The sequence below is a fragment of the Homo sapiens genome, chromosome 8 (assembly GCF_000001405.40).
Source record: "Homo sapiens chromosome 8, GRCh38.p14 Primary Assembly".
In the NCBI taxonomy this organism is placed as follows: Eukaryota; Metazoa; Chordata; class Mammalia; order Primates; family Hominidae; genus Homo; species Homo sapiens.
The window spans coordinates 120,639,034-120,651,578 of record NC_000008.11 but is presented as its reverse complement, the minus strand read 5'-3'; the positions used below and the strand labels follow the sequence as shown (position 1 = coordinate 120,651,578).

The 12,545-nt window shown below is 40.7% G+C and overlaps 1 protein-coding gene across 4 annotated transcripts in view; it reads left to right on the top strand.

Annotated features, from left to right (window-relative positions):
* The window catches only part of SNTB1 (syntrophin beta 1), a 276,291-nt gene that overhangs the window by 160,468 nt on the left and 103,278 nt on the right, over nt 1–12,545 (top strand). The window lies entirely within an intron of this gene.

Sequence of the window (12,545 nt, the reverse complement as noted above, 5' to 3'; positions counted from 1 at the left end):
CAAAAACCTACTAAAAAAATGAAACCATTCTCATCTCTTTTCACCACAGAGTCACTGATTAGCTCAGGCTATGAGAAAGCAAAGAGACTTCAACAGCTAATTGTAGCTCTAGTTACGGCCACAACTCTCATTAACTTGTGCCCCTTAACAGGAACCTCATATAGCTCTTTTTTGTTTTTAGAACAAAGAGGTAGATGGGTTAAAGGGTGACATGTTATCAGGTTTGCCCCAAATCTTTCAGTATCTTGCAAAAGACTCATGCATCTTTCCCTAAAGTTATTTTATTTTCCATTCCAGGATAGTAGAAAGAGCCTTTGTATAACCTTTTAGTTTTTCCTGGGGCTTGCATTTTTCTGCAAATCCCAGTACTCTGGAAGGGAGTTGGACTATAGCCCACCTGCCCTGGAGGACTCTCCATGCTTCATTGGACCAATACAATACAATTTTATTGTGCACAAATTTGGAAAGACTGTTCATTGTAAACTAGGAAGACTCATCAAGATGAGCATGGCACTGTGACATCTCATGCATGTTACTTCATTTCATCGTTTCAATAATCTCAATAGACAAGTATATTGAGGCATTCTACAGATAAAGAAATCGAGGCTTAGGGAGTTTAAGTAACTTACCTAATGCTTCACAGCCAATAAGTCATAAAGCCAATCTGAATCCAATAAGTCATAAAGCCAATCTGAAAGTCATAAAGCCAGTGTGCATTCCAGCATGCATCTTTTCAATTGGTGAGAATATGGGCTGCTGAAAGAACTACTGCACAGCCAGCCAGGAATGGAATGTCTTTACTCTCTATCACTTTCTCTTCTGGAACATGCATTACACTGGATCACGTTTTGGTAAAATGAGGTCAAATAACAAATTAGGTCAAAATGCGTGTATCTGAAGTTCAGTTAATGCCAGGCAATGGAGATATATAGGTATAAAATCACCCCATGACCTTGTTGAGAATCTTGAGTTGTCACCCAGGGATTTGAAGGACTTCAGGGACACCAAGTACCTATCGTTTGCCTTAGCTAGTAGAGCTCATTGATATTAAAAGAGGAATTTTGTAGACCTTTCTTCTCTCCCTTTGGGTTTTGTTGGGGGTGAGGGAAAAAAAGGGGGAAGGTAGGTTGCTGAATTCTTTTAATTACTCAGTGCACAAATAATTGACAAATAATTTGGCACTTTTTCCATGCCAAAGTTTTGTCAGATCAGCCCAACAATTCTTAGCCCACCATCATATTTAGTGGTTTCATGCTGCTCTCACGTGTTGTCAGTGAGAGGCTCATTCTCAACTCTCCTATTGTCATTGACTCCTATCTTAAGTCTAACATATGTCTCATCTTATAAGCCAGAGCCAAAGCTTAGTTAAAAAGGATGATTTCCGGGAACCAGAGCCAAGATGGCCGAATAGGAACAGCTCCGGTCTACAGCTCCCAGCGTGAGCGATGCAGAAGATGGGTGATTTCTGCATTTCCATCTGAGGTACTGGGTTCATCTCACTAGGGAGTGCCAGACAGTGGGCGCAGGTCAGTGGGTGCGTGCACCGTGCGCGAGCCGAAGCAGGGCGAGGCATTGCCTCACTTGGGAAGTGCAAGGGGTCAGGGAGTTCCCTTTCTGAGTCAAAGAAAGGGGTGATGGACAGCACCTGGAAAATCGGGTCACTCCCACCCGAATACTGCGCTTTTCCGAGGGGCTTAAAAAATGGCACACCACGAGATTATATCCCACACCTGGCTCAGAGGGTCCTACGCCCACGGAGTCTCGCTGATTGCTAGCACAGCAGTCTGAGATCCAACTGCAAGGTGGCAGCTAGGCTGGGGGAGGGGCGCCCGCCATTGCCCAGGCTTCATTAGGTAAACAAAGCAGCCGGGAAGCTCGAACTGGGTGGAGCCCACCACAGCTCAAGGAGGCCTGCCTGCCTCTGTAGGCTCCACCTCTGGGGGCAGGGCACAGACAAACAAAAAGACAGCAGTAACCTCTGCAGACTTAAATGTCCCTGTCTGACAGCTTTGAAGAGAGCAGTGGTTCTCCCAGCACGCAGCTGGAGATCTGAGAACGGGCAGACTGCCTCCTCAAGTGGGTCCCTGACCCCTGACCCCCGAGCAGCCTAACTGGGAGGCACCCCCCAGCAGGGGCACACTGACACCTCACACGGCAGGGTACTCCAACAGACCTGCAGCTGAGGGTCCTGTCTGTTAGAAGGAAAACTAACAAACAGAAAGGACATCCACACCAAAAACCCATCTGTACATCACCATCATCAAAGACCAAAAGTAGATAAAACCACAAAGATGGGGAAAAAACAGAACAGGAAAACTGGAAACTCTAAAAAGCAGAGCGCCTCTCCTCCTCCAAGGGAACGCAGTTCCTCACCAGCAGCGGAACAAAGCTGGATGGAGAATGACTTTGACGAGCTGAGAGAAGAAGGCTTCAGACGATCAAATTACTCTGAGCTACAGGAGGACATTCAAACCAAAGGCAAAGAAGTTGAAAACTTTGAAAAAAATTTAGAAGAATGTATAACTAGAATAACCAATACAGAGAAGTGCTTAAAGGAGCTGATGGAGCTGAAAACCAAGGCTCGAGAACTACGTGAAGAATGCAGAAGCCTCAGGAGCCGATGCGATCAACTGGAAGAAAGGGTATCAGCGATGGAAGATGAAATGAATGAAATGAAGCAAGAAGGGAAGTTTAGAGAAAAAAGAATAAAAAGAAATGAACAAAGCCTCCAAGAAATATGGGACTATTTGAAAAGACCAAATCTACATCTGATTGGTGTACCTGAAAGTGATGGGGAGAATGGAACCAAGTTGGAAAACACTCTGCAAGATATTATCCAGGAGAACTTCCCTAATCTAGCAAGGCAGGCCAACGTTCAGATTCAGGAAATACAGACAACGCCACAAAGATACTCCTCGAGAAGAGCAACTCCAAGACACACAATTGTCAGATTCACCAAAGTTGAAATGAAGGAAAAAATGTTAAGGGCAGCCAGAGAGAAAGGTCGGGTTACCCTCAAAGGGAAGCCCATCAGACTAACAGCAGATGTCTCGGCAGAAACCCTACAAGCCAGAAGAGAGTGGGGGCCAATATTCAACATTCTTAAAGAAAAGAATTTTCAACCCAGAATTTCATATCCAGCCAAACTAAGCTTCATAAGTGAAGGAGAAATAAAATACTTTACAAACAAGCAAATGCTGAGAGATTTTGTCACCACCAGGCCTGCCTTACAAGAGCTCCTGAAGGAAGCACTAAACATGGAAAGGAACAACCGGTACCAGCCGCTGCAAAATCATGCCAAAATGTAAAGACCATCGAGACTAGGAAGAAACTGCATCAACTAACGAGCAAAATCACCAGCTAACATCATAATGACAGGATCAAATTCACACATAACAATATTAACTTTAAATGTAAATGGACTAAATGCTCCAATTAAAAGACACAGACTGGCAAATTGGATAAAGAGTCAAGACCCATCAGTGTGCTGTATTCAGGAAACCCATCTCACGTGCAGAGACACACATAGGCTCAAAATAAAAGGATGGAGGAAGATCTACCAAGCAAATGGAAAACAAAAAAAGGCAGGGGTTGCAATCCTAGTCTCTGATAAAACAGACTTTAAACCAACAAAGATCAAAAGAGACAAAGAAGGCCATTACATAATGGTAAAGGGATCAATTCAACAAGAAGAGCTAACTATCCTAAATATATATGCACCCAATACAGGAGCACCAAGATTCATAAAGCAAGTCCTGAGTGACCTACAAAGAGACTTAGACTCCCACACATTAATAATGGGAGACTTTAACACCCCACTGTCAACATTAGACAGATCAACGAGACAGAAAGTCAACAAGGATACCCAGGAATTGAACTCAGCTCTGCACCAAGTGGACCTAATAGACATCTACAGAACTCTCCACCCCAAATCAACAGAATATACATTTTTTTCAGCACCACACCACACCTATTCCAAAATTGACCACATACTGGGAAGTAAAGCTCTCCTCAGCAAATTTAAAAGAACAGAAATTATAACAAACTATCTCTCAGACCACAGTGCAATCAAACTAGAACTCAGGATTAAGAAACTCACTCAAAACCGCTCAACTACATGGAAACTGAACAACCTGCTCCTGAATGACTACTGGGTACATAACGAAATGAAGGCAGAAATAAAGATGTTCTTTGAAACCAATGAGAACAAAGACAAAACATACCAGAATCTCTGGGACGCATTCAAAGCAGTGTGTAGAGGGAAATTTATAGCACTAAATGCCCACAAGAGAAAGCAGGAAAGATCCAAAATTGACACCCTAACATCACAATTAGAAGAACTAGAAAAGCAAGAGCAAACACATTCAAAAGCTAGCAGAAGTCAAGAAATAACTAAAATCAGAGCAGAACTGAAGGAAATAGAGACACAAAAAACCCTTCAAAAAATTAATGAATCCAGGAGCTGGTTTTTTGAAAGGATCAACAAAATTGATAGACCGCTAGCAAGACTAATAAAGAAGAAAAGAGAGAAGAATCAAATAGACGCAATAAAAAATGATAAAGGGGATATCACCATCGATCCCACAGAAATACAAGCTACCATCAGAGAATACTACAAACACCTCTACGCAAATAAACTAGAAAATCTAGAAGAAATGGATAAATTCCTGGACACATACACTCTCCCAAGACTAAACCAGGAAGAAGTTGAATCTCTGAATAGACCAATAACAGGAGCTGAAGTTGTGGCAATAATCAATAGCTTACCAACCAAAAAGAGTCCAGAACCAGATGGATTCACAGCCGAATTCTCCCAGAGGTACAAGGAGGAACTGGTACCATTCCTTCTGAAACTATTCCAATCAATAGAAAAAGAGGGAATCCTCCCTAACTCATTTTATGAGGCCAGCATCATTCTGATACCAAAGCCGGGCAGAGACACAACAAAAAAAGAGAATTTTAGACCAATATCCTTGATGAACATTAATGCAAAAATCCTCAATAAAATACTGGCAAAACGAATCCAGCAGCACATCAAAAAGCTTATCCACCATGATCAAGTGGGCTTCATCCCTGGGATGCAAGGCTGGTTCAATATATGCAAATCAATAAATGTAATCCAGCATTTAAACAGAGCCAAAGACAAAAACCACATGGTTATCTCAATAGATGCAGAAAAAGCCTTTGACAAAATTCAACAACCCTTCATGCTAAAAACTCTCAATAAATTAGGTATTGATGGGACGTATTTCAAAATAATAAGAGCTATCTATGACAAACCCACAGCCAATATCATACTGAATGGGCAAAAACTGGAAGCATTCCCTTTGAAAACTGGCACAAGACAGGGATGCCCTCTCTCACCACTCCTATTCAACATAGTGTTGGAAGTTCTGGCCAGGGCAATGAGGCAGGAGAAGGAAATAAAGGGTATTCAATTAGGAAAAGAGGAAGTCAAATTGTCCCTGTTTGCAGACGACATGATTGTATATCTAGAAAACCCCACTGTCTCAGCCCAAAATCTCCTTAAGCTGATAAGCAACTTCAGCAAAGTCTCAGGATACAAAATCAATGTGTAAAAATCACAAGCATTCTTATACACCAACAACAGACAAACAGAGAGCCAAATCATGAGTGAACTCCCATTCACAATTGCTTCAAAGAGAATAAAATACCTAGGAATCCAACTTACAAGGGATGTGAAGGACCTCTTCAAGGAGAACTACAAACCACTGCTCAAGGAAATAAAAGAGGATACAAACAAATGGAAGAACATTCCATGCTCATGGGTAGGAAGAATCAATATCGTGAAAATGGCCATACTGCCCAAGGTAATTTACAGATTCAATGCCATCCCCATCAAGCTACCAATGACTTGCTTCACAGAATTGGAAAAAACTACTTTAAAGTTCATATGGAACCAAAAAAGAGCCCGCATTGCCAAGTCAATCCTAAGCCAAAAGAACAAAGCTGGAGGCATCACACTACCTGACTTCAAACTATACTACAAGGCTACAGTAACCAAAACAGCATGGTACTGGTACCAAAACAGAGATATAGATCAATGGAACAGAACAGAGCTCTCAGAAATAATGCCGCATGTCTACAACTATCTGATCTTTGACAAACCTGAGAAAAACAAGCAATGGGGAAAGGATTCCCTATTTAATAAATGGTGCTGGGAAAACTGGCTAGCCATATGTAGAAAGCTGAAACTGGATCCCTTCCTTACACCTTATACAAAAATCAATTCAATATGGATTAAAGACTTAAACGTTAGACCTAAAACCATAAAAACCCTAGAAGAAAACCTAGGCATTACCATTCAGGACATAGGCATGGGCAAGGATTTCATGTCTAAAATACCAAAAGCAATGGCAACAAAAGCCAAAATTGACAAATGGGATCTGATTAAACTAAAGAGCTTCTGCACAGCAAAAGAAACTACCATCAGAGTGAACAGGCAACCTACAAAATGGGAGAAAATTTTCGCAACCTACTCATCTGACAAAGGGCTAATATCCAGAATCTACAATGAACTCAAACAAATTTACAAGAAAAAAACAAACAACCCCATCAAAAAGTGGGCGAAGGACATGAACAGACACTTCTCAAAAGAAGACATTCATGCAGCCAAAAAACACATGAAAAAATGCTCATCATCACTGGCCATCAGAGAAATGCAAATCAAAACAACAGTGAGATACCATCTCACACCAGTTAGAATGGCAATCATTAAAAAGTCAGGCAACAACAGGTGCTGGAGAGGATGTGGAGAAACAGGAACACTTTTACACTGTTGGTGGAACTGTAAACTAGTTCAACCATTGTGGAAGTCAGTGTGGTGATTCCTCAGGGATCTAGAACTGGAAATACCATTTGACCCAGCCATCCCATTACTGGGTATATACCCAAAGGACTATAAATCATGCTGCTATAAAGACACATGCACACGCATGTTTATTGCGACATTATTCACAATAGCAAAGACTTGGAACCAACCCAAATGTCCAACAATGATAGACTGGGTTAAGAAAATGTGGCACATATACACCATGGAATACCATGTAGCCATAAAAAATGATGAGTTCATGTCCTTTGTAGGGACATGGATGAAATTGGAAATCATCATTCTCAGTAAACTATCGCAAGAACAAAAAACCAAACATCGCATATTCTCACTCATAGGTGGGAATTGAACAATGAGATCACATGGACACAGGAAGGGGAATATCACACTCTGGGGACTGTTGTGGGGTGGGGGGAGGGGGGAGGGATAGCTTCGGGAGATATACCTAATGCTAGATGACGAGTTAGTGGGTGCAGCACACCAGCATGGCACATGTATACATATGTAACTAACCTGCACAATGTGCACATGTACCGTAAAACTTAAAGTATAATTAAAAAAAAAAAAGAATGATTTCCCTCTTTACTTGGATCTGCAAGATCATCATAGGCTACTGGTACACAGCTTCAAAAACTCTCCCTCTACATTTGCTAACAGGCTTTTTACAGGACTTTACTTCATCTGAAAGCTTCTCTATGGTGGTTTTAAGATATAGATATGTCTACAGATGCTTTGGTACTCTTCCTTGTATCCTAGTGGAGCCTAATTCTCATTTTCTTGAATGTGTATTGGACTTAGTGACTCACTTCTAACAAAAAGAATAAACCAGAACTCATGGTGTGTCTGCTGGTGGGAATGTAAACTAGTAAAACCACTATGGAAAACAGGATGGAGGTTCCTTAAAGAACTATAAGTAGAACTACCATTTGATCCAGCAATCCCATGACTGGGTCTCTACCCAGAGGAAAAGAAGTCATTATATGAAAAAGACACTTTCACATTCATGTTTATAGCAACACAATTCACAACTGCAAAAATGTGGAAACAACCTAAATGCCCATCAACCAATGAGTGGATAAAAAAATGTGATATACATACACCACAGAATACTACTCAGTCATATAAAAGAAAAAATAATGGCATTTGCAGCAACCTGGATGAAGTTGGAAACTATTATTCTAAGTGAAGTAACTCAGGAATGGAAAGCCAAATATCTCATGTTCTTATAAATGGGAACTAAGCTATGAGAATGCAAAGGCAGAAGAATGATATAATGCACTCTGGGGACTCAGGAGGAAGGGTGGGAGGGTGGTGAGAGATAAAAGACTGCACATTGGGTACAGTGTACACTGCTCGGGTGATGGGTACACCAAAATCTCAGACATCACCACTAAAGAACTTATCCATGTAACCAAAAACCACCTGTTCCCCCAAAACTATTGAAATCTAAAAATCAGAGAAACAATAACAACAAACATGGTGTGTGCCTTTGAAGACCAGATCAGAAAAGGCATAGCAGTTCCTTTTTTTCTTTGGAGGAAACAAGCTGCCATGTCAGGAGGACACTCAAGCAGCCTTTGGAAAGGCTCATATGGCAAGAAACTGAGGCTTCCTGCCAATGGCCATAAGAGGGAGCCATCTTAGAAGTGGATCCTCAACCCCAGTCAAGCCTTCAGATGCCTGCAACCCCTGTCAGCATCCTGACTGCAAATTCCTGAGCCAGAACCACTCAGCTAAGCCATTCCCAAATTCATGACCTACAGATACTGTGAGATAACAGATGTTTGGAATTTTGTTTTGTTTTGTTTTTTTGTTTTTCAGTAAGGGTCTTGCTCTGTCACCCAGGCTGGAGTGCAGTAGTGCAATCATGGCTTTTACTGCAGCCTTGACCTGGGCCCAAGCAATCCTCCCACCTCAGCCTCCTGAGTAGCTGGGACTACAGGTGTGCACCACCATGCCTGACTAATTTTTAAATTTTTTGTAGAGTTGGGGCCTCCCTACTTGCCCAGGCTGGTCTCAAACTCCTGAGCTCGAGTAATCCTCCCACTTCAGCCTCCCAAAGTGCTGGGATCACAGGCATGAGTCACTGTGGCTGGCCTGGAATTTTAAGCCATATTTTAACTGGGGGAATTTGTTAGTCAGTAGTCCATAACTAACATACTCTCCAGAAGCCACCTGTTGTATTGCCCTTCTGGGGACAACTATCAATAGGCTCAGCTCCTTAGGGGCTCCAGCTTAGCCTCAGAGAGGCCTGTGGTGGTCTTCAATCTGTATAATTTGTGGAACATTTAAAGCATAAGCCCAGGCTTCAATCTCTGGAGATTTTTACTCAGTAGGACTGGGACAGGGTCCAACCATTTATATTTAACTGAATGATTTTTTAAAAAGAAGCCTATTAAAGGATATCTGAAGAATACTTTTGGTTGAGAACCTTGCTGTTCTTTTTGATGATAAAAAGCAACAGGCCTCTCTGCTCTATGTCTTTTGTATTCTTTCTCTGAAAACTGACAGGGGAAGCTCAGTTCACCATTCCATGTCCCTCTCAGCCATTGGGAAGCCTGGCAAACAACTAAGCTCAGTCCTTTTTTTAAATGAACCTATGGCGCAGCCCTTCTCAAACTTGACTAGAGTCAGATTTTCCTGGAGGATGATTGCTGGACCCCACCCCCAGAGTTCCTAGTTAAGTAGGCCTGAGATGGGAACCTATAATTTGCATGCAAATACTGCTGGTCTGTGGCCATGCCTTGAGAATCGCTGCCAAAAAGTATGGGACCTGGTATTTCAACTTTGCCTCAGAAATTGTCCTAGATCCTCCCTACACTTCAGGTAACAACAAAAAATGAAAGCAAACAAAAATTCATCCATTTTTGCCTGAGGCAAAAGTAATCCATAGTGTTAGAAATTTGAATAGTGATTATATGAGAGGACAGGAACTGGAAAGGGTATACAAAAGGAATTTCTGGGATGACTGTAATATTCTATTTCTTGATCTGAGTGACAGTGACACGAATATATTCTCTGCAAAAATACAGTTGAGGTGGACACCTACAATTTGTGAACTTTTCCGTCTGTATGTTACACTTTTAAAGTTTACTTAAAAATTAATAATAATGATAAGCGCTGTCAAAACCTGGAGAAAATGGGCCTCTGCAACACCAACCTGTACCTCTGTTTGCAAGTCTGCTTTATCCTAGGGCCATGCTGGCAACCCAACAAAGAAAATACCCTTTTTTCTTTCTTTCATTTTTGCTGGCATCACTTTTGTTTGTGTAATACCTGTGGAGTGGCTGTTTCCCAAGATGTCGTTTCTTTGAAAACAAATGCCAGCCTTCAAAAGAAAACATTGTAAATGACGTATTTGCATGCTTTAAATTCCTAGAATAATAGATATTGATAGAATAACTTGAAAAGCCAGTTGATAACCACCATTGTTGATTAAAAATAAAGTTTTAAAGAAAGGAAAGAAAAGCAAGCTGAGATCTCATTAATGCTTTTGAGAATCCTAGTTTGTGTTCTGCTATGCAACTTTACTGAACAGTGAGAACTTTGGGAGACAATGAACTCACCCCAGATTTATTACCCATTTCTTTGAAAAGAACCTAAAAGTCATGAGATTTTTTTTTGATTGACAGTTGATTGTAATTATTAAGTCTTTGGCTATGAATGAAGAAAGAGGAAGAAAAAAAAATGCTGGCTATTGGGCCTACCAACCAAAAAAAGTCCAGGACCAGATGGATTCACAGCCGAATTCTACCAGAGGTACAAGGAGGAGTTGGTACCATTCCTTCTGAAACTATTCCAATCAATAGAAAAAGAGGGAATTCTCCCTAACTCATTTTATGAGGCTAGCATCATCCTGATACCAAAGCCTGGCAGACACAACAAAAAAAAGAATTTTAGACCAATATCCCTGATGAACAATGATGCAAAAATCCTCAATAAAATACTGGCAAACTGAATCCAGCAGCACATCAAAATTTTATCCACCATGATCAAGTGGGCTTCATCCCTGGGATGCAAGGCTGGTTCAACATACGCAAATCAATAAATGTAATCCAGCATATAAACAGAACCAAAGACAAAAACCACATGGTTATCTCAATAGATGCAGAAAAGGCCTTTGGCAAAATTCAACAGTCCTTCATGCTAAAAACTCTCAATAAATTAGGTATTGATGGGATGTATCTCAAAATAATAAGAGCTATTTATGACAAACCCACAGCCAATATCATACTGAATGGGCAAAAACTGGAAGCATTCCCTCTGAAAACTGGCACAAGACAGGGATGCCCTCTCTCATCACTCCTATTCGACATAGTGTTGGAACTTCTGGCCAGGGCAATCAGGGAGGAGAAAGAAATAAAGGGTATTCAATTAGGAAATGATGAAGTCAAATTGTCCCTGTTTGCAGATGACATGATTGTATATTTAGAAAACCCCATTGTCTCAGCCCAAAATCTCCTTAAACTGATAAGCAACTTCAGCAAAGTCTCAGGATACAAAATCAATGTGCAAAAATCACAAGCATTCTTATACACCAATAACAGACAAACAGAGAGCCAAATCATGAGTGAACTCCCATTCACAATTGCTTCAAAGAGAATAAAATACCTAGGAATCCAACTTACAAGGGATGTGAAGGACCTCTTCAAGGAGAACTACAAACCACTGCTCAAGGAAATAAAAGAGGATACAAACAAATGGAAGAACATTCCATGCTCATGGATAGGAAGAATCAATATCGTGAAAATGGCCATACTGCCCAACGTAATTTACAGATTCAATGCCATCCCCATCAAGCTACCAATGACTTTCTTCACAGAATTGAAAAAAACTACTTTAAAGTTCGTATGGAACAAAAAAGAGCCCACATTGCCAAGTCAATCCTAAGTCAAGAGAGCAAAGCTGAAGGCATCATGCTACCTGACTTCAAACTGTACTACAAGGCTATAGTAACCAAAACAGCATGGTACTGGTACTAAAACAGAGATATAGACCAATGGAACAGAACAGAGCCCTCAGAAATAATACCACACATCTACAACCATCTGATCTTTGACAAACCTGACAAAAACAAGAAATGGGGAAAGGATTCCCTATTTAATAAATGGTGCTGGAAAAACTGGCTAGCCATATGTAGAAAGCTGAAACTGGATCCCTTCCTTACACCTTATACAAAAATTAATTCAATATGGATTAAAGACTTAAATGTTAGACCTAAAACCATAAAAACCCTAGAAGAAAACCTAGGCAATAGCATTCAGGACACAGGCATGTTCATGTCTAAAACACAAAAGCAATGGCAACAAAAGCCAAAATTGACAAATGGCATCTAATTAAACTAAAGAGCTTCTGCACAGCAAAAGAAACTACCATCAGAGTGAACAGGCAACCTACAAAATGGGAGAAAATTTTTGCAATCTACTCTTCTGAAAAAGGGCTAATATCTAGAATCTACAAAGAACTCAAACAAATTTACAAGAAAAAAACAACCCCATCAAAAAGTGAGCAAAGGATATAAACAGACACTTCTCAAAAGAAGATATTTATGCAGCCAACAGACACATGAAAAAATGCTCATCATCACTGGCCATCAGAGAAATGCAAATCAAAACCACAAAGAGATACCATCTCACACCAGTTAGAATGGCGATCATTAAAAAGGTCAGGAAACAACAGGTGCTGGAGAGGATGT